Source organism: Homo sapiens, chromosome 8, assembly GCF_000001405.40.
Source record: "Homo sapiens chromosome 8, GRCh38.p14 Primary Assembly".
In the NCBI taxonomy this organism is placed as follows: Eukaryota; Metazoa; Chordata; class Mammalia; order Primates; family Hominidae; genus Homo; species Homo sapiens.
The window spans coordinates 50,582,892-50,608,373 of record NC_000008.11 but is presented as its reverse complement, the minus strand read 5'-3'; the positions used below and the strand labels follow the sequence as shown (position 1 = coordinate 50,608,373).

At 33.8% G+C, this 25,482-nt stretch overlaps 1 protein-coding gene across 19 annotated transcripts in view, besides 1 other annotated feature; it reads right to left on the bottom strand.

Moving 5' to 3' along the window:
* The window catches only part of SNTG1 (syntrophin gamma 1), an 886,897-nt gene that overhangs the window by 188,319 nt on the left and 673,096 nt on the right, over nt 1-25,482 (bottom strand). For 18 of the 19 annotated variants that reach the window (NR_135796.2, NR_135795.2, NR_135797.2 and 15 more), the window contains one exon: nt 17,457-17,495. Coding sequence is in view for 13 of the 19 variants with exons in the window: in NM_001287813.3 (NP_001274742.1) it covers nt 17,457-17,495 (39 nt within the window). In the remaining 6 variants the exon portion in view is untranslated. Of the gene's footprint in view, nt 1-17,456; nt 17,496-25,482 lie in introns of those variants that run through there. The other variant, XM_047421898.1, reaches the window with a different exon arrangement.
* Nucleotides 2,971-3,265: a silencer, noted in NCBI's record as "tiled region #15467; HepG2 Repressive non-DNase unmatched - State 24:Quies, and K562 Repressive non-DNase unmatched - State 24:Quies". NCBI's record gives its function as "represses a minimal TATA promoter and a strong SV40 promoter by Sharpr-MPRA in HepG2 and K562 cells {active_cell/tissue: HepG2 | K562}" and the evidence as "EXISTENCE:reporter gene assay evidence [ECO:0000049][PMID:27701403]".

Here is a 25,482-nt window from a genome sequence, read left to right as displayed (position 1 = left end):
ACACAATATATAATGAAACAAAATAAGACAAAATTCAAAGAAAAAAAATTTTTAAATGAGAGTTGGAGATTTACGTATTACTCTCATAATAATTGATAGAAAAACTAACTGAATAGTCAATAGAAATATAGAAAACCTGAACAAAACTATCAGTCAGTTTGACATACTTGACATTTGAAAAATACTATTGATTCCAAAATAGCAGAGTACATATCCATGTTTTATAAAAATCCCTGCAACATGATCCAGGAAAAGTAACATGGATGCCAGTAAAATTGAAAGATTTGTAATCACGTGAAATATGTTCTCTGACTAAAAACATAATTAAATTAGAAATACTTAAAAAATAAATAAAATAGGGGAGCTCCAAAAACGTGAAAATTAAACAACACCACTCTTCTAAATAGACAAGTGTAGAAGAAATAAATTACAGGCAAATTAAGAAACTACCATGAATGAGTTTATAAGGGAAAGTATAACATCAAATTCAATGAGATGCAGTAAAGCATTATTTCAGAAAAAATTCATACCTTTAAAACATATGTTAGGCTGAAAGATGTAAAACTTATGTTACATTTCAATAAGCTAAAAAAGAAGAGTAAATTAAACAGAAAGCCAAAAGAAGGAAGAAAATAATAAATATCCATAAATAAATATTGGAATGAAAAACAGTAAAAAATAAAGAAAGAAAGACAACGAAGAAGTCACAGAAATCAAATGTGGTTCTTTGGAAAAATCAACAAAATTGATAAGGCTTTATGTTGACTGATAAATTACAAAAAAGAGAGAGGGAAAGAATAAAAAGTCACAGATTACCAAAATTGAAAAGCAAGAAGAAACGTTAAAGTATTATAAGAGAATATTACAAATAAATATATACCAATGACTTAAATAAGTAAAATGAAATGCATGAATTCCTAGAAAGACACAAAATACCAAAGCTTACTCAAAAATAAATTTGATAACTTGAATAGCTCTGTACTTTTAAAAGAACAAAAAAAAAATAGTTAAAACCCTACATATAAATCAAATTCCAGGACTAGATAGCTTAACTGGGAGATTTTTGCCAGATAATGAATAAATAAAACCCATCCTACACAAACTTCTCCAGAAAATTTAGGAAGCGTAAATGCTTTCTCATTCAATCTACAAAGCTACCATTACTCTGATACCAGATCATATACATTCCCAAATATATGAAAATTAAATAATACTTCCAAATATTCACATGTAAAATAAAAAGTAAAAAATAAGTTAGAAACGATCTTGAAGGGCAATGTAAATAAAATGTAACATATCGAATTTGATTTTTTTGAGAGACGTTAAAAGCAGAGAAATCTGCATATCAATGTCTCTCAGAAACACAGTTGAAAAATTTCTTAAATTTTCTTATTTTAGAAAATTGAGTCCAACAATAAATAAAAAGGATAAAAACATTATGATTAACTGGGATATATTCGCAAAATTCAAACTTGGTTTCATATCTAACAATACATTAATAGAACATAGCATATTGATAGAAATAAAAAAAAGGCATAAGGCACAGTATATTTATTAATAGTCACAGAAAAGGCATTTAACACAGTTGAACATTTATTCTGATTAAAATTTTTAACAAACTAGTAACAGAAAGGTATTTCATCAACATGCTAAAGAACATTTATGAAAAACATCTAGCTATTAACATATTTAATGTTGAAATATTTAATGATTTCCCCTATGATCAGATACAAGGTATGTGTTTATCAGTTACATTCTGCATTATACTGGAGAATCTCACAGTGCCATGAATTATTAAAAAGAAATAAAATGTATCCAAAATGAAATAAAGAATTCAAAATATTTATATTTATGTAGATAACATAATTGTCTATTGTTCCTACATCTTAGAAGTCATTTTAGAAATAATGCAGGAAACTAAATCAATATAAAAATCAAAAATTTGTCATTTATATTAACATTAAAAATATGAGGTACTTAGGAATAAATCTGATAAAGTATGCATGATATGTATACACTGGAAACTAGAATGGTTTCTAAGAGAAATTTTTAAAGTTCTAAGAAAGGTAGAGAGCTAACCTATCTTCATGGATCTCAAGACTCAATATTCATAATATGTCAACTTTCCTAAATATAAAGATTCAATGCAATTTCAAAAATACCCAACTACTCTTGAATAAGTCTACAAGTTGTTCACGTGTTTCTAACTTTCTGTTTAGAAAGAGCAAGATTCCAGAGTAGACAAAATTACTTCGAATAAAAACAAGGACACAACAACAACAAAGAAAAGAAAACTACAGGCTAATAGCTATGATGAACACCAATGCAAAAACTCTCAACAAAATACTAGCAAAGGAAATTCAAATACACATCAAAAAGATCACTCACCATGATCAAGTGGGATTCACCAAAGGGATGCAAACATGGTTCAACATATACCAATCAACAGACATAATATATCACATAAATAGAATCAAGGACAAAAATATGACAGATGTTTTTATTTTATTTTTGTGTTATTTTATTTTTTTCAGTTAGGTCAGAGCAAGATGGCTGAATAAAAGCCTCCGTGGATAATCCCCTCTCCCCAACAGAAGCACCAAATTTTAACCAACAACCACACATCAAATAGCACGATTGAAAGAACCAAAAATCAGGTGAACAATAACAGTACCTGGCTTTAACTTCATATTGTTGAGAAAGTACTGAAGAGGATAGAAAAGAAAATTTTGAATCACTGAGACCACCCCTCCCCCATCCTCTAGCAGTGGCTTCATGGTGTGAAGAGAGAATCTGTGCACTTGGGGGAAGACTAGCACAGCGACTGGCGGGCTTGCCATTGAACTGTTTTGCTGCACTGTCACAATAAAGACCAAAGACTGTTGCTCAGCTGGTTCCTGCCCATGGAAGGAGCATTCGGAGCAGCCAGAAAGGAATTACCCATCCCAGATATCAGAACTTGAGTTTTGGCAAGCCTCACCACTGCAGTCTAAAATGCTCCAGCATCCTAAGTAAAGTTGAAAGGCAGTCTAAGCCACAAGGACTGACATTCCTATGGAATTCCTAGTGCTAGGCTGGGCTTAGAGCCAGTGGAACAGGGAAACACCTGACCTAGGGAGATACCAGCCAAGGCAGCTAAGGGAGGGCTTGCACCACCCCTCCCCTAACCTCAGGCTGTGCAGCTCACAGAAATGAAAGTGACTCCTTCATTCTGCTTCAAGACAGGAGCAGGAAGAGTAAACAGGACTTTGTCTTAAATCTTGCATATCAGCTCAGTCATAATAGGACAGGGCACAGGGCAGAGTTGTGAGGCCACATTCCAGGCTCTAGCTCCTAGACATTTCTAGATACACCTTGGGCCAGAAGGAAACCCACTGCCTTGAAGGGAGGGACCCAGTCTGGGGACAATTCATCACCTGCTGACTAAAGAACCTTTGGGCCCTGAATAACCTGCAGGGATACCTTGTTCGTATGCCATGGCCTTTGGTGACACCCTAAGACATGCTGGCTTCAGGTGAGACCTAGTACATTTCCAGCTGTTGTGACTAGGGTGAAAGAATCCTTTTGCTTGAGAAAAGCGAGGAAAAAATGAAGGGGACTTTGTCTCACACCCTAGAAACCAGCTCAGCCACAATGGGGTAGAGCACCAAGCAGGCTATTGTGGTGGCTAAATCCAGGCCTAGACTCTTGGACATTTCTGAACCTGTCCTGTAGTAGAAGGGAGCCCACTGCCCTGAAGAATGACTCCAAGGCCTGGCAGCATTCACCACAAGCACACTGAAGAGCCCTTGGACTTTAAGTGAATATTGGTGGTAGCCTGGCAGAACTCCCCTGCCTGTAAAAAGGGGAGGGAAAAGTGGAAAGGGCATTGCCTTGTAGTTTGAGGTCCATCTTAGCCATGCAGAATAGAACACCAGGTATATTTCTAAGGTTTTCTTTTTTTTTTTCTTTCTTTTTTGAAAGAGGGTCTTCCTCTGTCATCTAGGCTGAAGTGCAGTGGTGTGATCTTGGCTCACTGCAACCTCCACCTGCTGGGCTCAAGTGATCCTCCCACCTCAGCCCCCTGTAGCTGGGACTACAGGCATGTGCCATCATGCCCAGCTAATTTTTGTATTTTTAAGTACAGATGAGTTTCATCAAGTGCCCAGGATGATCTCAAACTCCTGAGCTAAAGTGATCTGCCTGCCTCAGCCTCCCAAAGTGCTAGGATTACAGGCATGAGCCTCTGTACCCAGTAGATTTCTAAGGTTTTTGACTCTAGTCCCTGGCCCCTAGAAAACATGTCTGAACCCTTCTGGGTCATGGAGGTACTCACTGCCCTGAAGTACAAGACATTACCCTTGCTGGCTTCCTCACTTGCTGACTGTAGAGCCCTAGGGCTTTGAGTGAACCTAGGTGGTAGCCAGGTAGTGATCACAGCTGGCCTTGAGCTAGACTCAGTGCTCTGCTGGCTTCGGGTTTGACCCAGTGCAGTCCTAATGATGGTGGCCACAGGGGTCTTGCATCACCCATCCTCCAGTTCTAAGCTGATCAGCACAGAGAGGGAGTCTTCTTTTTGGGAAAAAAGTAAGAGAAGAGAACAAAAATGTCTTTCTGAAAACCAGATAATTCTTCTGATCTTATCCAAGGCCACCAAGTCAGCACACCTATGAGTCTGCAAGAATCACTGTTATTGGTCTTGGGGTCCAAGTTGCATCGAATAGCTGGAAAGCCTCCCCAAGAAAGAAAGGTACTAACAAGCCTAGACTGTGAGGACTACAATAAATATCCAAATTTTCAATGCCCAGATGCTGACAAACCTCCATAAGCATCAAGACTATCCAGGAAAACATAACTTCTCCAAAAAAAATAAATAAGACACTAAGGACAAGTCCTGGAGAAATACAGATGTATGACCTTTCACAAAGAAAATTCAAAGTAGCTGGTTTGAAGAAACTCAAAGCGATTTAAGACAACACAGAGAAGGAATTTAGAATTCTATCAAATAAATTTCACAAAGTGATTGAAATGGTTTAAAAGAATCAAGCAGAAATTCTAGAGTTGAAAAATGCAACTGACCTACTGAAGAATGCATCAGAGTGTCTTAATAGCAGAACTGTGGAGCAGAAAAGAGAATTAGTGACCTTGATGACAGGTTATTTGAAAATCACAGAAGAGACAATGGAAAAACAAATTAATCAAGCACATTCACAAGATCAAGAAAATAGCCTTGAAAAGGCAAATCTAAAAGTTATTGGTCTGAAAGAGAAGGTAGAGAAAGAGATAAGAGTGGAAAGTTTATTCAAAGAAATAATAATAGAGAACTTCCAAAACATAGAGAAAGATAACATTCAAGTACAAGAAGGTTATAAAGCACCAAGTGGACTTCATCTAAAGAAGACAATCTCAAGGCATTTAACAATCAAACTTCCAAAGGCCAGAGAAAATGAAAGAACTCTAAAACCAGCAAGAGAACTGAAAAAAAAAAAAAAAAATACCTTACAGTGGAGCTCCAATACATCTGGCAGCTGACTTTTCAGTGGAAACCTGACAGGCCAGTAGAGGCTAGCACAGCATGTTTAAAGCGATGAAGGAAAATAACTATTACATTAGAATAGTATATCCAGTGAAAATATGCATTAAGCATGAGGAAGAAATAAAGACCTTCCCAGACAAACAAAAGCTTAGGGATTTCATCAACACCAGACCTGTCCTACAAGAAATGCTATAAGCAGTTTGTCGACATGAAAGAAAATGATGTTAATGAACAAGAAAAAATCACCTGAAAGTACAAAACTCACTAGTAATAGTAAGCAAACAGAAAAACACAAACTATTATAACACTGTAATTGTGGTGTGTAAACTATTCATCTTAAGTAGAAAGACTAAATGATAAACCAATCAAAAATAATAACTACAACTTTTCAAGACAAACAGTACTATAAGACATAAAGAGAAACAACAAGTTAAAAAGTTGGAGGAAGAAGTTAAAGTGTAGAGTTTATATTAGTTTTGGTTTATGCAACAATTTTTAAGTTGTCATTAGTTTAAAATTACGAGTTTTAAGATACTCTATCAATCCTCATGGCAACCTCAAATTGAAAACCATACAATGGATACACAAATAATATAAAAAAGAATTTAAATCATACCACCAGATAAAATCATGTTAACTAAAAGGAAGACTAGATGAAAGGAAATAAGAATGAGAAGACCACAAAACAACAAGAAAACAAATAGCAAAATAAGAGTAAGTCCTTACTTATCAATAATAACATTGAATGTAAATAGACTAACCTCTCAATCAAAAGACATAGAGTGGCAGAATGGATTAAAAAAAGAAGACTCAATTATCTGTTGCTTAATGTAAACACACTTCACCTCTGAAGATACACAAAGACTGAAAATAAAGGAATAATGAAAGATATTCCATGCTAATTGAAACAAAAAATAGCAGAAGTAGCTATACTTATACCAGACAAAATATATTTCAAGACAAAAACTACAAGAGGAGACAAAGAAAGTTACTATATAATGATAAAAAGTTAAATTCATCAAGAGGATATAGCAATTACATATGCACCCAGTACCAAAGCACCCAGATATAGAAAGTAAATATTATTAAAGTAAAAAAGAGAGACAGATCTCAATACAAGAATAGCTACACACTTCAACACCCAACTTTCAGCACTGGACAAATCTTCCAGAAAGAAAATCAACAAAGAAAATCATATTTAATCTTGCACTTTAGAACAAATGAACCTAATAAATATTTACAGAATATTTCATCCAACAGCTTCAGAATAAACATTCTTCTCCTCAGCACATAGATTATTCTAAAGGAGATACCATATGTCAGCTAACAAAACATGTCTGAAAATACTGAAAAAATTAAAATCATCTCAAGCATTTTCTCTGACTGCAATGGAATGAAATTAGAAATAAATAACAAGAGGAATTTTAGAAGCCATACAAACACATGGAAATTAAGCACATGCTCCTGAATGACCAGTTGGTCAATGAAGAAATTAAGAGGGAAATTGAAAAACCTCTTGAAACAAATGGTAATGGAAACACAACATAATAAAACCTATGGGATGCAGCAAAAGCAGAGCTAAGAGGAAAATTTATAGCTATAAGTGCCTACATAAAAAACAAAGCCAAACAAACAAAAAGCCTTCAAAGAAATAGCTTAATAGCCTAACATGTCTTTTTTTTTTTTTTTTTTTTTTTTTTTTTTTTGTCTCGCTGGCTCTGTCACCAGGCTGGAGTGAAGTGACGCGATCTCGGCTCACTGAAACCTCCACCTCCCAGGTTCAAGCGATTCTCCCAAGCAGCTGGGACTACAGGTGCATGCCACCATGCCCAACTAATGTTTCTTGTATTTTCAGTAGAGATGGGGTTTCACCATGTTGGCCAGGATGGTCTCAATCTCTTGACCTCATAATCTGCCCACCTTGGCCTCCCAAAGTCCTAGGATTACAGGAGTGAGCCACCGTGCCCAGCTAGCCTAATATGCCTTAAAGAACTAGACAAGCAACAGCAAACCAAACCCAATATTAGTAGAAGGAAAAAAAAATAGAATAAAGATCAGAGCAGAAATAAATTATATACAAATAAACAAATAAAACAATACAAAAGATAACAAAGTGAAAAGTTGTTTTTTAAACAGATAAATAATATTGACAAACCTTTACCAAAACTAAGAAAAAAAGAAAGAAGAACCAAATAAATAAAATTAGAGATGAATTTCTAATTACAACTGATACCACATAAATTCAATAGAAATTTATATATTTGCTATTATGAGCAAAAATATATGGCAATAAATTGGAAAATCCAAAGGAAATAGGTAAATTCGTAGACATATACAACTTACCAAGATTGAATCAGGAAGAATCCAATACCAAACCATACCAATCACAAAGAAGGAGATTGGAGCTCTAATGAGTCTCCCAGTAAAGAAAATCTGAGGACCCAATGGCTTCACTGCTAAATTCTATCAAACATTTAAAGAACTAATACCAATCCTACTTAAACTCTTCCAAAAAATGGAGAAGTGAATACTTCCAAACTTATTCTATAAGGACAGTTTTCCCTCATACCAAAATCAGACAAAGGCATATCTGAAAAAAAAAATTACAGGCCAATATTTCTGATGAAAACTGATGCAAAAATCCTCAACAAAATACTGTCAACGCAAATTCAACACACTAAAAAGATCATTCATCATGACCAAGTGGGATTTATCACAGAGATTCAACAATGGTTTAACATACACAAATCAATCAATGTGACACATCATGTCAACAGAATGAGGAACAACAACCATATGATCATTTCAATTGATGCTGTAAAAACATTTGATAAAATTCAATATCCCTTCATGATTAAAAAATACCGGGAATACAAGGAACATATCTCAACATGATAAAATCCATGTATTACAGACCCAAGGTAGTATTATAATGAATAGAGAAAAACTGAAAGCCTTTCTTGAAAGCATCTTTGTCTGGATCATGACAAGCCCACTTTCCCAACTGTTACTCAAAATAGTACTGGAAGTCCTAGCTAGAGCAATCAAAGAAGAGAAAGAAATAAACAGCATCGAAATTGGAAAAGAAGAAGTCAAATTATCCTTGTTTGGAAAAATCCAAAGACACCAAAAAACTATTAGAACTGATAAACAAATTCATTAAGGCTGTAGGATTTAAAATCAACATACAAAAATCAGTGGGATTTCTAAATGCCAACAGTGAACAATCTGAAAATGAAATCAAAACTGTAACCCCATTTGTAATAGTCACAAATAACAAAGAAATGAAAGATCACCTCAAAGAAAACTATAAAACATTGGTGAAAGAAATTAAAAAGGATGCAAAAAAAGAAAGACATTTTATATTCATGGATTTGAAGAATCAATATTATTAAAATGTCCATACTACCCAAAGCAATCTACAGACTCAATGCAATTCCTAACAAAATGCCAATGACATTCTTTACATAAATAGAAAAACAATCCTAAAATTTATTTGGAACCACAAAATATCCAGAATAAACAAAGCTATCCTGAGCAAAAAGAAGAAAACTAGAGGAATCACATTACTTCATTTCTAATTATACTATAGAGATATAGTAAGAAAAATGGCATGGTACTGTTAAAAACAGACACACAGATCATTGGAACAGAATAGAGAACCCAGAAACAAGTTTATACACCTACAGTGAATTCATTTCCAACAAGTGTACCAAGAATATACATTGGCGGAAATGACAGTCTCTTCAATCAATGGTGCTGGGAAAACTGGATGGAGGATAAACACTCCATTTTCCATGATGTGATTATTATGCATTGCATGCCTATATTAAAGTACCTCTTGCACCCAATAAATATACACACCTACCATAGATGTAGAAAACCTTAAAGACTCCAAAAAGTTGTTATAACTAATGAATGACTTTAGTAAATTTGCAGAATATGCAATCAACATAGAATTAGTAGTATTTCCCTACACCAATAGCAACCTATCATAAAAAAATTAGGAAGCAATTTCATTTACAATGGCCACAGAGAAATACTTAAGAATAAACTTAGCCAGAAAAATGAAAGATCTCTATAATAAAAACTATAAAGCATTGATGAAAGAAATTGGAGGGAATCCAAACAAATAGAAAGGTAGTCTGTGTTCATGGATTGGGATAATTAATATTATTAAAATGTCAATATTAACCAAAGCCATCTACATATTTAATGAAATCCTTATCAAATGACAATGCCATTTTCACAGATTTTTTAAAGCAATGTTCAAATTCATATGGAAATGTAAAAGACTCCCAGTAGTCAAAGCCATCTTGAACACAAAGAACAAAGTTAAGGCATCACACGACATGACTTTAAAAGTATACTACAAAGATATAGTAAATAAAATGTATGGTTCTGGCATAAAAACAGATACATAAACCAATGGAACAGAAAAGAAAACCTAAGAATAAATCAATACACTTATAGCCAACAAAAGTGTCAAGAACACATATTAGGGAAAGAACAGTTTTTTCAATAACAATGTTGGGAAAACTGCATGTCTATACTCAGAAAAATGAAACTAGACCCCTATCTCTCACCACACACAAAAATCAAATCAAAATGTCTTAAAGACTTAAATTTAAGTAAGACTTGAACTTTAAGTAAGACCTGAAACTATGGAAGCACTTGAAGAAAGCATAGGGAAATTGCTTCATGAAATTGGGCTGGGCAAGGAGTTTTTAAAATAAGACTTCAAAAGCACAGGTGACAATAGCAAAAATAGACAAATGGGATTGCATCAAACTAAAAAAAAACAAAAAACAAAAACAAACAAACGAACAAACAAAAAACTTCTGCTCATCAAAGGAAATAACCAACAAAGTGAAGAGACAACTCACAGACAAGATATTAATAACCGTAATATATAAGAAGCTCAAAAAACTCAATAGCAAGAAACCATGTAATTGGATTTTAAAATGGGCAAAAGATCTGAATAGACATTTCTCAAAAGAATACATACAAATGGCCAACATTTACATTTAAAAATGCTCAAAATCACTAATCATTAGTGAAATACAAATCAAAACCAAAATGAGGTATCACCTCACACCAGTTCAAATGACTATTATCAAAAAACAAGACAAAAAAAATAACAAATGTTGGAAAGGATGTGAAGAAAGGGCAACTCTTTTGTACTGTTGTTGGGAATGTAAATTGGTACACCCATTATGGAAAACAGTATGGTGGTTCCTCAAAAAATCAAAATTGAATTACCACATGATCCAGCAATCCATTACTGAGTATACACTCAAAAGACCATGAAATCAGTATGTCAAAGAGATAGCTGCACTCCCAATAAGCAACACTATTCAAAATAGCTGAGATATGGTATCAACTTAAATGTTCATATACAGATGAATGAATAAAGAACATGTGGCATATATATATGTATATATGTATATATGTATATATGTATATATGTATATATGTGTATATATACATGTATATGTGTATATATACGTGTATATATGTATATATATGTGTATATATACGTGTATATATGTATATATATGTGTGTGTATATATATATGTATATATTCTCTGCAGCTATACAAGGGAATGAAATCTTGTCATTCACAGCAACATGAATGAACTTGGAAGACATTATGTTAAGTAAAATGACCCATGCATAGAAAGACAAACATCACATGATCTCAATCATCAGTGTTATCGAAAAAAAAGTTGATCTCATACAAGTAGAGAGTACAATAGTGGTTACCAGAGGCTAGGGAGGGGAAGAGTGAGGGGAGATTGGGAGAGGTTCGCCTGTGGGTACAAAGTTACAGTTACACAGGAAGAGTAAGTTCTGATGTTCTATTACACAGTAGGGTAACTACAGCAAATAACCATGTAGTGTAAACTTCAGCATAGCTAGAGGAGATTTTGAATGTTACTACCAAAATAAATGATAAATGTTTAAAGTGATGGATTTGGCAATTACTCTGATTGACTCATTATACAGTGTATATATGATTTGAAATATTACACTGTCCCCCAAACATGTGTACAATTATTATGTTTCAATTATATAAAAACATTAATAAAAAATATTAGAAGTTTTATCAACAACAGCAAATAATTACAAAGCTAGGGGACTTACACTACTCATGTTAGACATCGTAGTACTACAGTATTCAAGACGGTTTTGTATTTGTGTCATGAGATACAAATAGACCAAGGCAACAGCATTTGGAGTCCAGAAATAGGCCCACATGTATGTGATCAATTTGTATTTTGGTAGAGGAATAATAATACAGTGAAGAAAGAATAATACTTTCAACACATATGCTGGAACTATTGTACCTCCCCTTAAAAATAGCTTTAATCTATACCTCACTTTTGAAACAAGTGTTAAATAAAAATAAATCATAGATTAAAAATAAAAAGAATACTGTAAAAAACCTAGGATAAAAAATAGTTGAAAATTTATTTCCTGTGTTAGGCAGATATTTACTAAATACAATTTCAAAAGCATGACTCATTAAAATACAGTGAATTGGAATTCATCAAATTTAAAAAATTCTGTCCTTGGGCAACATTTGAAGAGATAATTCACAAAAGAATATATACAGATGTCAAATAAGCACATGAAAAGATGCTCAACATCATTATTCTATAGAGAAATGTAAATTAAAATTTAACAGATCATGACACATCTATTAGAATGTCCAAAAATTAAAAGCCTGACCATAGGGATATCTACGAGATTATCTTTACCCTGCTAGTGTCAATGTGAAATGTAAAACCCTTCGGAAAACAGTTCTGCAGTTTCTTAAAATGTTCAAAATACACAACCATAATATTGAGTTATTACACTACTAGGATTTTACCCAAATATAATAAAAACATATGTCAAGACAAAGACTTTTCATAAATATTTATATCAGCTTTATCTGTAATACACTAAAACTTAAAATGAAGCAAATGTGCATTAATGGGATAATACACAATACACAAATGGTAGTAGAGCCACCGATAAAATACTACCCAGCATTAGAAAGAATGATGGATTGATGCACGCTGCTAAATGAGCAATATTAAAAAGAATTATGCTGTATGAAAGAAGCCACAAAAATTCATACATACAGTATGATCCCATTTATATAACAATCTGGAAAATGTAAAACAAGACAATTTTGCTACATTTGTTCCCCGCTCCCTCAGGATTTTGAAAATCTATATATTTAGAAAAGAAAGCCAATGAGAATTAAGACAGTTCTTTCAATAATGAAACCCAGGTACTTATGTGTATAAATTCAACACACACACATATACAACTTTCTATTATTTGAATAACACTTTTCCAAGTCTTCTGAAGTGTATATTTTATTTTAACTGTAATACATAAATTTTTACATAATTAGGTGTGGGCTCCTTTAGTTTAACTTAAAATAACATTTACACCTCTTTTTCCTGGGAAATATCCATCATGTTTGTTATCAAATGATTTATGAGCTGGTTGATTTTCCAAGAGTTAATTTATACAGACACATTACTTTTTTTGAGGTGGATTCTCCTTTAGATCATAAAGTGCCAGCATATTTTATCACCAAGTGTTATGAAATAGACCAGAACAAAAACAGGCTCATTATCTTCAGATTGTGTGACTCTATAATGTGTTTTTAACATTAATAAATTGAATGTATAAAGAACTAGGAGAGTTTCTTTCTCAAATTGAAAAAAATAGATTTTTGACATTCCCCAAAAATAAAGACCAATTGTCAGTTTCATTAATAGAATATTTTGTCTAAATACACACACACACACACACACACACACACACACACACATCTTCAATAAAGCTAAAATTTCATGAATTAAATATACAACTGATTAGATTATAAATTTTAGGGTATGCATCATTATTATGTAAGCCAACATATTGCCAGAGAAAAGAGAGGGGTTGGGACCAGGTCCAGTTATAATGCCACAAAGCTTACTGTTCTTACCAAGACTCAGCTGTTTTTCTTGAATAAATGCTCCCTGGGTTCAGTGAGCCTTTGTGAATTTCCATATTTGTTAAAAGTTGATTCTATTTTTGCCATTTTTCTGTTGCTTTTATAGAGAAGCAAAACTGACAAAATTTATCCTACTTTTCTTTCTTTTCTGATACCACTACAGAAATAGATTTTTAAAGTGTCCTGTAATTCCCTAATTCTCCCCAGCATGACTAGTGACTCTAGTCACTTTTAATTCCAGCTGCCAACATTCTATGTATGGTATGTACACATCTATAATAATGTGTCCAAATTATTATGGTTCGTCAAATGTCAATATTTCTATAGGAATAGCTACCAGAGCTAATATGTTATTTTAAATAAGTATAACCTTATTAATTTAAACTAATATAAATAATTTGATTATATTATTTTGTATACTGCCTAATATAAAGCTCACTATATTAATATTTTAATGACAAATTAATACTTTATAATGTTACTCCCAGGTAATTATAGAAGAAACTTATTGAAAAATGATATTTTTGTGGGAGGAATGAGATATATTTCAGGATGAAGAAATTTCAGTTAAAAATGAGTAAAAATGACACACATAATAAATTATAACCTAATGGTCTAGGTACATATAGTAGTGTGATGTAGGCCTGGTTGTCTGGGCCTATATGCCTTTACCTCTAATACATTGAGAGAATTATCACAACATCACTTGACTTCCATTCAGTTATCCCTGTTTTGTTCATCAGCAAGACAACTGTCCCGCCTTTCATCTTTTCAACAGAAAGTTACCAGGGCAAGTTTAATTTCAGTGTGTTCACTGTAAAAATGAACCAAATCAGGTTGGGTGTTGTGGCTCATGCCTGTAATCCCAGCACTTCGGGAGGCCAAGGCAGGCAGATCACTTAAGGTCGGGAGTTTGAGACCAGGCTGGCCAACACGGTGAATCCCTGTTTCTACTAAAAATACAAAAATTATCCAGGCGTGGTGGTGCATGCCTGTAATCCCAGCTGCTTGGGAGGCTGAGGCAGGAGAATCGCTCGAACCAGGGAGGCGGAGGTTGCAGTGAGCCAAGATTGTGCCACTGCACTCCAGCCTGGGTGACAGAATGAGACTCTGTCTCTCAAAAAAAAAAAAAAAAGAACCAAATCAGAATCTTAATAGAACAAAAGCACATGAATGTGTTCCAGATGCATAGAAAAAATGGAAAACTTACTCCTCATGAAAAGTGAAGTAGGAGATACACTAATATGATTTCAAGTGGAGGCAATAACTAAGATTATTTAGTTGGTTAACTAATTTTAAATGTAGGTTTTTTTTTCATTTTTGAACTCCTGTTTGGTTTTTTTTACAACTACAAATTTTAGCACCATGTCCTCTTCTTGTCTTATGATTTTGATTTCTTTATTTAAAAAATCATGATTAAAAATATTTTGGATAGTTCTTTAGTGTCTAGATTATGCATTTCTTTATAATGGTTTATTTCCTCATATGGTTTATAATTTTGGGCCCAACTCTCTTCTTCAGACACAGTGTCTGAAAGCCTTATGCATTCTGGAGTGTGGCAGAGTTCATGTGGAGCTAATCTTAGCGGTTGTCTCAGCTGGACCGCAGTGGCTTTCTCCCTATGTTTTGCTTTCATTTTAATTTCTCTGGTTAGGGTAGTGGTACCATCTGGGTAGCACAAATTGAAAATCAAATCTCAGGGAGCAGAGAACTTCGGATTCATTGTAGCTTGGGTGACTTTTAATTTCTGTTTTGATACCTAGAACATCAGGAATATGAGGGAGTTATTTAATGTAGATATCATCAGAAATGGGATTATATGTGTTTTTAAAACTGGCTCAGATTTTACTAAATAGGAAATGTACTCTAGTCAATTAATGCGTTGTTATCATACTGTGCAGTGAGTTTTCCTAATTATGCAATAATATAAATGTTTAACTATAAATTAATCCTATTTCTTAAAATTCTTCATGTACACAATGGGAAGTAGTAAGGAAAAAAGTCTATTAACCCTTCTTTTCAGGTTTCTTAAATATCAGGATGAATTTGTTACAATTTTCAAAACTGTGAGCTGCCAAGATAATTGAAATAAAATCTGAAATAGTTTTGAATTATATAATTTTGGATTTGAAATTATTATATAATGAATAATATTAACAGGCTAGCAAATAAAAATGATGAATACTAATGAACATCTATGCTTACATATGAGTATGTGTCAGAATATTATAGTGTTAGAATATTAAAGTTTTTATTACTTGTTCTATGTGTGATTTATTCAAATTCTCACTTATTTTACTTAATACTATTCTAAACCTGGGTATAAGCAAAGGTGGCAAGAAGTGCTCCCAGTCAGCAAGCTGACTACATGAGAAGTGTTAGCTGTAGTTGTCATTGATTACAGAATAGCTTTGGGGCTATCAGCGGAATGACCTCTGTAGTAATATATTACACCAATATTAATATCTCCCATGTTGAGTTTAGAAAGGGCATGAGAGGGTGACGACACAGCTCTAGAGTCATTCTTAAATTAAAAAATAATTCACCATTTTTTATTTTGGAGAGGAACTTACAAAACAGTAGATTTCCATTTTTAAAGATCTGACTATAAAACAGCCTTGTCTACTGATGGACATTATAATCTTCCCTCATAGCTGATACTTTCTTCTATTTGAGTAATTTCTTATTAATGACATTTTCCCTCTACTGGAACCCTGTAAAAGCATTAAACTGTAGCTCTCAGGATGACACCTATCTTGAACTACACTTATCTGCAGTTCTCAAGATGACACCCATACCAGAATCACCTGGGACAGCATGGGAGCAACAAAGGGAACATCCCAGGTGTTGTTACAGAGCAAGTAAGCAGAAGCTGCTGGTGACAGCTCTGGTTTCCACACTGTAAGTAAGGGCCTTAAAAACAACTACAGGCTGCTGCAGCATGTGGCAAGACACGTACATCTCTCCAACCTCTGCATTTATCCAAGATATCAACTTGGCTCAGGGCAGAGGGACTTAAGGTAGGAGGGAGGGGACCTCTGGAGCTGAAAAGAACTAATCAGAGCATTGTAGACACAATTAACTCTCCAAAGCTGTTCTCTACAGTGTTCTAGTTACACATGGCTTTGGAGGCTGATTTGGGCTAGCAGCATCATTAATGATACAATTTCTACAAAACATAAATTCTGTATTCCAAAGAACAAGTGTAAACATTTAGAAACTTTGATGATAATGATAGCATAGATTGAGAACTTTACATGTGCTATTATTTAATCCTCAAAATAAACTTACAGGATAGTCGCCCTTACACAAATGTTGCACATAGGGGAACTGAGGTTTAGATAAGAAAAATATCTTACATTTTATAAGTTGAAGAGCATTTAAACATTTTTATCATTAAAATTAATTTGTAATTTATGTATCATTTATAAATAGCTATCATAGATATTTAGATTTGTCAGTGGTTTCAAATCAAAGTTGATATCAAGAGTAAGAGGTTTATAGAACTGAATAATCAAAATTATTTTTGTTCTATGCATTAACTTAGACTCGTTTGAAATACTGTCAGCAAATTGTGAAAAATTCATTTGAATTTTGAGATAAATTAAAAGTAGGTCTCCCAGAAGTTAAGATATACTAAAACTAACATATGTAAATAAAACTCTAAGTTCTTCAACAATGTATTCAAATAAATTATTTTGTAGAAACAATAATTTTTGACTTAGATAAACATTTTTAAAGTACTTTTTAATATAAGTAGAGGAACCAATATATTACATAATATGAAGGAGATATCTGAAATGTATGTTTCTCACTGAAGATAGTAAATGACAGTACCAATTATTTCTGTCTAGAAATCAGGTAACGTTATCTTCTATAATCAATAAAATTAAAGAAATATATTATTTAGCTTTCCAAGTATGCTTTGATCTTACCTGCTGGTTTACAGGAAAGTTTCTGTTGATTTTTTTAATCTGCAATGATAAATAAATAATAAAAGTGAGAAGAACAATAGATGGTAACACAAGGTCCCCAGAATTTTATGCAGATTATTTTTAGTGAGCTAATATATACTAATATCCTATTTTGATATGCTGAAATCATCACATATAAAACAACATATATAAACAGATTTTTTCTTTTTAAAATTGGCTATCAAAATTATCCCACACTTCTTATGTAAACAGTTTGGAAAAGATTTCCCTTTAAAATTTTTTTAACTCAGAGAAACCAAAAGCCTGTGTTCAAACAATACTAAATGATTATCTATCAAGAATGCAGAGTGTAACTTTCTGTGGTTTATTTTTTGCACTTTGAAATTATATTATATCCAATTTGTTTTAGCACTCAAGAGAACAGGGAAGCGCAATATCCAAACGCTAAAGGATAAAGTATGTGTGTTGAACATTTTCAGTCAAGACTCCAGATAGAGTCTAACATTTACTTTAAGAAAATTTAATCAATGACATTTTATAAGAATTTAAAGTAGGTCTCCAGAGAAAGCATTTCCTCTGTCATATGCCATGGAAACAAACTTTAAAAACCTAATAAAAATGAACATTAGGCTTGGATAAAGGACATTACACAAAGTCTTTCTTCAATAGTGCTTTTGCTGAATAAAATAATTACCTTCCAATAGCTTTGTAGAGAAACTTAAGCATGCTAACTCTCTATGGTATACACTTACAGCAGAAGTAATGCAGACTATTTTCATTTATAAATCATGCCACTGACTTATTTTATTTTGTCCTTTTTTGGTTCCCTTTTATCCTACTGACTAGTGTGAAATAACAGTTCATTTAAACAGAAAAAGTACACAAAGTTGGAAAATCAACAAAAGTCACATCTACAAGAACAGATTTACTAGCAAGATATTTCTCACTTAAAATGTAAAAAGAAAAGAAAATTTGAGAACATATGTGTGATCTGAGCAAGGTTAGGTACAGAAACCATGTACTTCTTACATTATTATAATCATTTCAAAATACCTTCTGGCTCTGCTAAGGAATCTCTGAACCTACTCATATATGCCTTCAGCTAAAATCAGCATAGCCTGGAAATACAGATGGAAAAAACTGATCTCTAAACATTTTTATTAATCAATTAAAAAATCTATACTGAGTACTTTGTGGAAATCTACTTTTTGCTAATTCATATGAATTGTTATAAAGAATTCTAAAATTCAACTAATATTTTATGTGGGCCCTTGTCTTCAATAATGTACTATGTAGCTTCGTAAACTGCAATGTTTTTTTTTTTTTTAATCTGAAAAATAGTCTGAACCATCTTTCTAGGAAACTTGAAGATCAGCTATGAAAGTAAACACTTCATGATAGAAAGTAGTGGTTGAGCAAAACACGGGATAGAAAGTAGTGGTTGAGCAAAACACGGGATAGAAAGTAGTGATTGAGCCAAACTTCTGAGCCAAGCACAGACGTCTTGTCCTGCTAACCCACCCTTGGGAGCGTTTGCAGAATTGAGATGTTTTCTCCCACAGAGATCTACTTTCTGTCCCACTAGAGTGTTTACTAGACCATCAGAATTATTTACCTGTGAGGAATTGTTATATTATAATTTTTTGTTTTTGTTAGTTTCCCTTAGTACATACCTGACTTACCTTGGAAAAGATCAACTTATTAACTGATATGTGAATGTTACCATCTCTATCCTTTGAATGGTTTATTACATAACATTACTACTATTAAAATAATAAAATGTATGGTGTATTTCCTACCACGGCTCAAAAATAAGGCAAGAAAGTGGGAGCAATTTAGAATATAGAATATATTATATTTTACATTAGAATATCTGTATCAGAAATTAGAATACAGAAAAGAGGTAGTATATTAATGACTAGAGAGAATGACAAGACAGTGTGATATGCCAACAACTAGAATAAAATGTAAATAATAATAATAATATGTAAAAACTATGTTTGCAAAATATGAAAATGGCCTTTAGAAATTATGTGTAGATTGTCTTTGTAATGTGGCGAATACAATAATAAAATAATAAAGTAGAACAAGACATTAAGTCAATTATTGAAGAAGTAATATTCTTTAAAGTGGAAATACTAATAAATTGTGCGCCTCTTAGTCAAATGATATCATCATAACTTTTCAAATACTTCTTCTCTGTAACTTCATAATACTTTATACTTGAACAATTTATGTTATCCCAGGATTATGTAAAAATATTCAAAAAGAATGAGTCAATGCTTGAATACTGCTGTGTGTAGTATTAATAGATTTATTTGGCAAGAAAATAAATTGTGTAAGCTGATTTCTACTGAAATTTGTAGCTTTTTAATTGTGTATTAGGGTAATATAATCTATTCATGTTTATTCATGTTTCAGTGGAAATATACACTTAACTAACCAAACTACTGACTGCACAGGAATGGAAGGCGGGTAACCAAAATGGGGAGTGGGATGTCCAGCACAGAAAACTCCGTCCGCCTGTTACCCTCACTGTGGCAGCAAGAAATGTGCTTCCATTGTATTCAGAAATTTTTCCTGGTGTTGTAGATACAAAATAATTCCTTGTTAAGATTTAAAATCTGTACACACACCCACATCCATTTTAAAGATAATTTCCATCTTTCCTGTACCAAGTGGAATATAACAATATAAAATGTTATATTGTTAGTACTTATACTAACATTTTAAAATAAAACAATAACTTAAAGTAGGTCTAATTAGAACATTTCATATCTTCAATTTTTTTTTTTTTTGAGTCGGAGTCTCATTCTGTCACCCAGGCTGTAGTGCAGCAGTGCAATCTCAGCTCACTGCAGCCTCCGTTTCCTGGGTTCAAGCGATTCTCCTGCCTCAGCCTGTTGAGTAGCTGGGACTATAGGTGCCCACCACCACACCTGGCTAATTTTTTTTTATTTTTTAATTTTTAGTAGAGATAGGGTTTCACCATGTTGGCCAGAATGGTCTCGATCTCCCTACCTCGTGATCCGCCCGCCTCGGCCTCCCAAAATACTGGGATTACAGGCATGAGCCATGAGCCGCTAAATTTTTTTTTCTTTTTCTTTTCTTTTTTTTTTTGAGACGAAGTCTCACTCTCGTCCCCCAGGCTGGCAATCTCCGCCTCCCGGGTTCAAGCGATTCTCCTGCCTCACCCTCGCGCGTAGCCAGGACTACAGGCGTGCACCACCACACCCAGCTAATTTTTGTATTTTTAGTAGAGACAGGGTTTCGCCATGTTAGCCAGTCTGGTCTCGAACTCCTGACTTCAGGTGATCCGCCCGCCTCGGCCACCCAAAATGGTGGGATTTCAGGCGTGAGCCACTGCGCCCGGCCAAGCCACTAATTTTTAACAGTCTAACATTTTTAAATATACACACACAGAGAGTATAAAGTAAGTGGAAAAATCACAGCAATTAAAACATATGTAGCATACACTGAAGTATTTATTATGCTAAACAATAATCAATATATCCAAAACTTTATAACACTGTGCATTCATTACAAATGCTTATGGTGATATTTACCGATTGATAAGATTGATAAGATTGATAAGATACGATGCTTACAAAATGTTCTAATTTCAAGGCAGTTTTATGCAGTATTTTAAAAATTACATATACACATATATATGCATACATACATATATACCTACATATATGTATATACATATATGTATGTATGCATATATGTGTATGTATATTAAACATATATAAATTTATATATGCATATATATACACATGCACAAAGATTGATAATTTGGGCATACATCCAGTCTTACAAATTTAGATTAATGTCTGTAAGCGTGAACCGAAATTGATTTTATGTTTAATGTGCATACATAAGTAGACATATGTGTATGACAATGATACTGACAGTTATAAATACAAAATTCAAACAGTTTTGTTTTTTATTTAGGGGTTATTACATGAATGCTTCCTTTGCTGCTTTGTATTTTATAATTATTATTATTTTGAAATATAACTTTTATCATTAGAAAATAAAATTAGTTTAATCTTTACTTTTTTTTTAACGAAGCTCTCCATTGTTTAAAACTTCGAAAATCTAAAATGTCATCAAAACAACCCCCAGAATACACATTTTTCAAAAACACCTGTTTTATTTTTCCTCTCTCTAGCTAAACTTTTAAATCTTTCACAACATTTTAAAGGCTTATAAGGATCCTCAGTCCTCAGTAATGTGTGTGTGTGTGTGTGTGTGTGTGTATTAATGAAATGAAGACAGGAGAGAATGTCATTATTTACTTCTAAAATCTTTTAATGACCTTCTACCAAGTGTGACTCATGGTGATAAGTGCTAGAACATGGAAATGAAAGATCCCATGCAGAGACAATGGCATAAGGATGCCCCCTTTACAGAATCCAAACAATCCAAGGAGGCTGCAGAGGGGAATGAGGATAAGTTCAACACAGGAGCTAAAATGTAGTTGCATAAGACTTTGTCAGGCTGTGCAGTCAGACAGATCTGGTGTTGAATTCCAGTTGTAATTATTACTAAATATCCTCAGACAGATCATTAATTATCAAATATCTAGATCCCTTCATTTGTAAAACATCAATAATGACATTAACTGCATATATTTGTTGGAAAAATTGACAGGAATATAGAGCTTAATAAGTAGTGATTATAATTAATATAAAGTAAGCTTGAATTCCCTTTGAAGATAAGAAGTGCATTTTAAAGAATGCTGAGCAAAGATGTCTTTCTTACACTGTAGTTTTCATACTCCCTTCTATTTTCTTGTCAACTCTAGACTAGGATTTGCACACTCAGGTGCCAAATGGGTGACAATCATGTGTGAATCAGGCTGGGTGGGGAATGAACAGATAGAGGGAAAATGAATCCATTGATGCTTTCTCATAAGTGGCACTGGTGGAATATCCTAGTGTTTATCAATTGGACATAGTATACCTTCATTTCTGTTTACAACCATTCTCTAGGAAACCTAAATTATAAGTGAACTCTCAATATAAAGATACTGGCAATAATTTGCTTTGAAAAATACTTACTTTTTAATTATAACATTAATATCAATAAAGCAAATTAAAATTTAATTAGAAAACCCAAAAAGATACATTAATTACAATTTAAATTTATTTTTAAAACATGGTATTATTCATATGATTAATATAGTGTCTGCTATATTATATACAGTCAAATATTAAAAAATAAATATTTTTAGTAATAAAATGCATTCAGAGAGCAAAGTTTTAAAAATTTTCTACTCTTGGTAGTAATACTATTTCCAAATAATGAAAATTCTAAATTCTCTGCATCATTTTAAGACTGATCTTCAAATAAGACAAATCAGTGTTTTTCAAAAAGGCATTTTCCATGTTACACTTCTTAGAAACCAATGCTAATTTTATGTTATCAGAACAATTTGTGTTATACGTAGCTAAAAAGGGAGTATAATTTTGACTAAAATAAAGGCTGTGTTTGAACTTGAAGGCTTTTAGAGATCAAAGGACATAATTTCTGTCCGTATCACAAAACCGGCTGCTTTTGGATCACAGTTATTTAAGCTATTAATCCTCTGGCTGTAAAAGGAGCAGAATGGCTTAGACCAGGGTTGCCCAACACATCACTCTACAAAACCAGCAAGAGCTATAAATGACCACAAAGTAAAATGGATTCAGATAAATGAAGGCCACGTTAAGCCTTTTAAAAATGAAAAACAGAAGATAAATTCATAAATTATATTCATCTCTGCTTGATTTCTTGGAAACTCATTTTTCAGACAGCTGCCAAAGCATACGGTCTTGTTTTCTTGTGTTCTTGTTTCAGGTAGCAGACAAGTAAGTTCTATCTATGAAAATTCTGTATGAATGACCCAGAGCCAATGCCTGCCCCTTCTTCCCAAATACTGGCCTCAGGCTTCCTTGACTGAGAGCACTTTCCTTTCCAAGCACTTTGGGCTTTCCAGGCAGAGAGAAACAAACAACGCATGGACCCAGTGCCCACCCAGGTCAGTGGCTGTTCAGCACAACACAGCAGAAGGGCAGCTCCATCTGCGGGGACTTCATCATGTTTGACTTGCACAGTTGTGGTCGGTGCCAGATCACAGTAAGAAGACTGGTATTCTTCTGTTACAGGCACACTAATGCATCATCCTTCCACCACTAAAGTAAATCTTAGCAATCAAGTTTCTTTCCAGATACTGTCTAAACTAAAACCTAGAGGGCTACCACTGTTCAGGTGCTATGCTGGGATATGCTTGTGACAGCAGCATTGTTGTCTCTTTCAGGAGCTAGTGTGGACTCTCTCAGTGTCATCGAGAACGCACCACTGCACTCCAGCCCAGGAGACAGTGCGAAACACCGTGTCAAAAAAAAAAAAAAAAAAGAATCAGAGAAATGTAAATCAAAACCACAATGAGATACCATCTCACACCAGTTAGAATGGCAATCATCAAAAAGTCAGGAAACAGTAGGTGCTGGAGAGGATGTGGAGACATAGGAACACTTTTACGCTGTTGGTGGGACGGTAAACTAGTTCAACCATTGTGGAAGACAGTGTGGTGATTCCTCAAGGATCTAGAACTAGAAATACCATTTGACCCAGCCATCCCATTACTGGGTATATACCCAAAGGATCATGCTGCTATAAAGACACATGCACACATACATTTATTGCGGCCCTATTTACAAGAGCAAAGACTTGGAACCAACCCTAATGTCCATCAATGATAGACTGGATTAAGAAAATATGGCATATATACACCATGGAATACTATGTAGCCATAAAGAAGGATGAGTTCATGTCCTTTGTAGGGACATGGATGAAGCTGGAAACCATCATTCTGAGCAAACTATTGCAAGGACAGAAAACCAAACACCGCATGTTCTCACTCATAGGTGGGAATTGAACAATGAGAACACCTGGACGCAGGAAGGGGAACATCACACTCTGGGGCCTGTCGTGGGGTGGAGGGAGCGGGGAGGGATAGCATTAGGAGATATACCTAATGTAAATGAGGAATTAATGGGTCCAGCACACCAACATGGCCCATGTATACATATGTAACAGACCTGCATGTTGTGCACATGTACCCTAGAACTTAAAGCATAATTAAAAAAAAAAAGAAAAGAAAAAACAAATCTGAAGAAACTTACCTGACCTCTAGCAGAAAAAAAAAAAAAAGCTCAGCATTTTGCTATTTACTTACAGTTCCAGGGGATTTATAGACACTTTGAAACTTTATAGAGACTTCCAGCAAAAAAGAAAATTCGTATTACTGCATAAGAAACATTTGATTTGACCTATTTCCTTCCATTGGGTAGTAAAATGTATTGTGAATATCCTTCCTCAGGATGACTATCGCAAAAAGGAACTGAGGCTGAGTGATATGTCTATGACAGAGGGCTTTGCAGCTCCAAGAATTTTTGATGCTAGTTATTTTCTATCATATAAATTGGTTTAATGGCTCATGTATTTTCTTTCTTTTTTTTTTTTTTTTTTTTGAGTCTCACTCTGTCGCCCAGGCTGGAGGCAGTAGTGTGATCTCAGTTCACTCCAGCCTCCGCCTCCCAGGTTTAAGCAATTCTCCCACCTCAGCCTCCCAAGTCACTAGGATTATAGGCGCCGCCACCATGCCCTGATAATTTTTGTATTCTTAGTAGAGACAGGGTTTCACCATGTTGGCCAGGTTGGTCTCGAACTCCTGGCCTCAGGTGATCCACTCGCCTCGGCTTCCCAAAGTACTTAAGATTACAGGCATGAGCCACCATGCCTGCTCTCATGTGTATTCTCAAAGAGCATACCTAGATTCAGGATGGTGTGACCTACACAAAGGAAACAAAATCTAAGTAGTGTTAAGTTCTTATTTTTTTAAGAACATAAAATATAAAATTCAATTTTTTTAAATATCAGTTTATTTCATTTTATGCTGCAGTTGTGATAAGGAAACTCATTGGGTCATTCTTATAATTATCTTTGATTTCTAGAAAACTATAGGCTCTTTGAG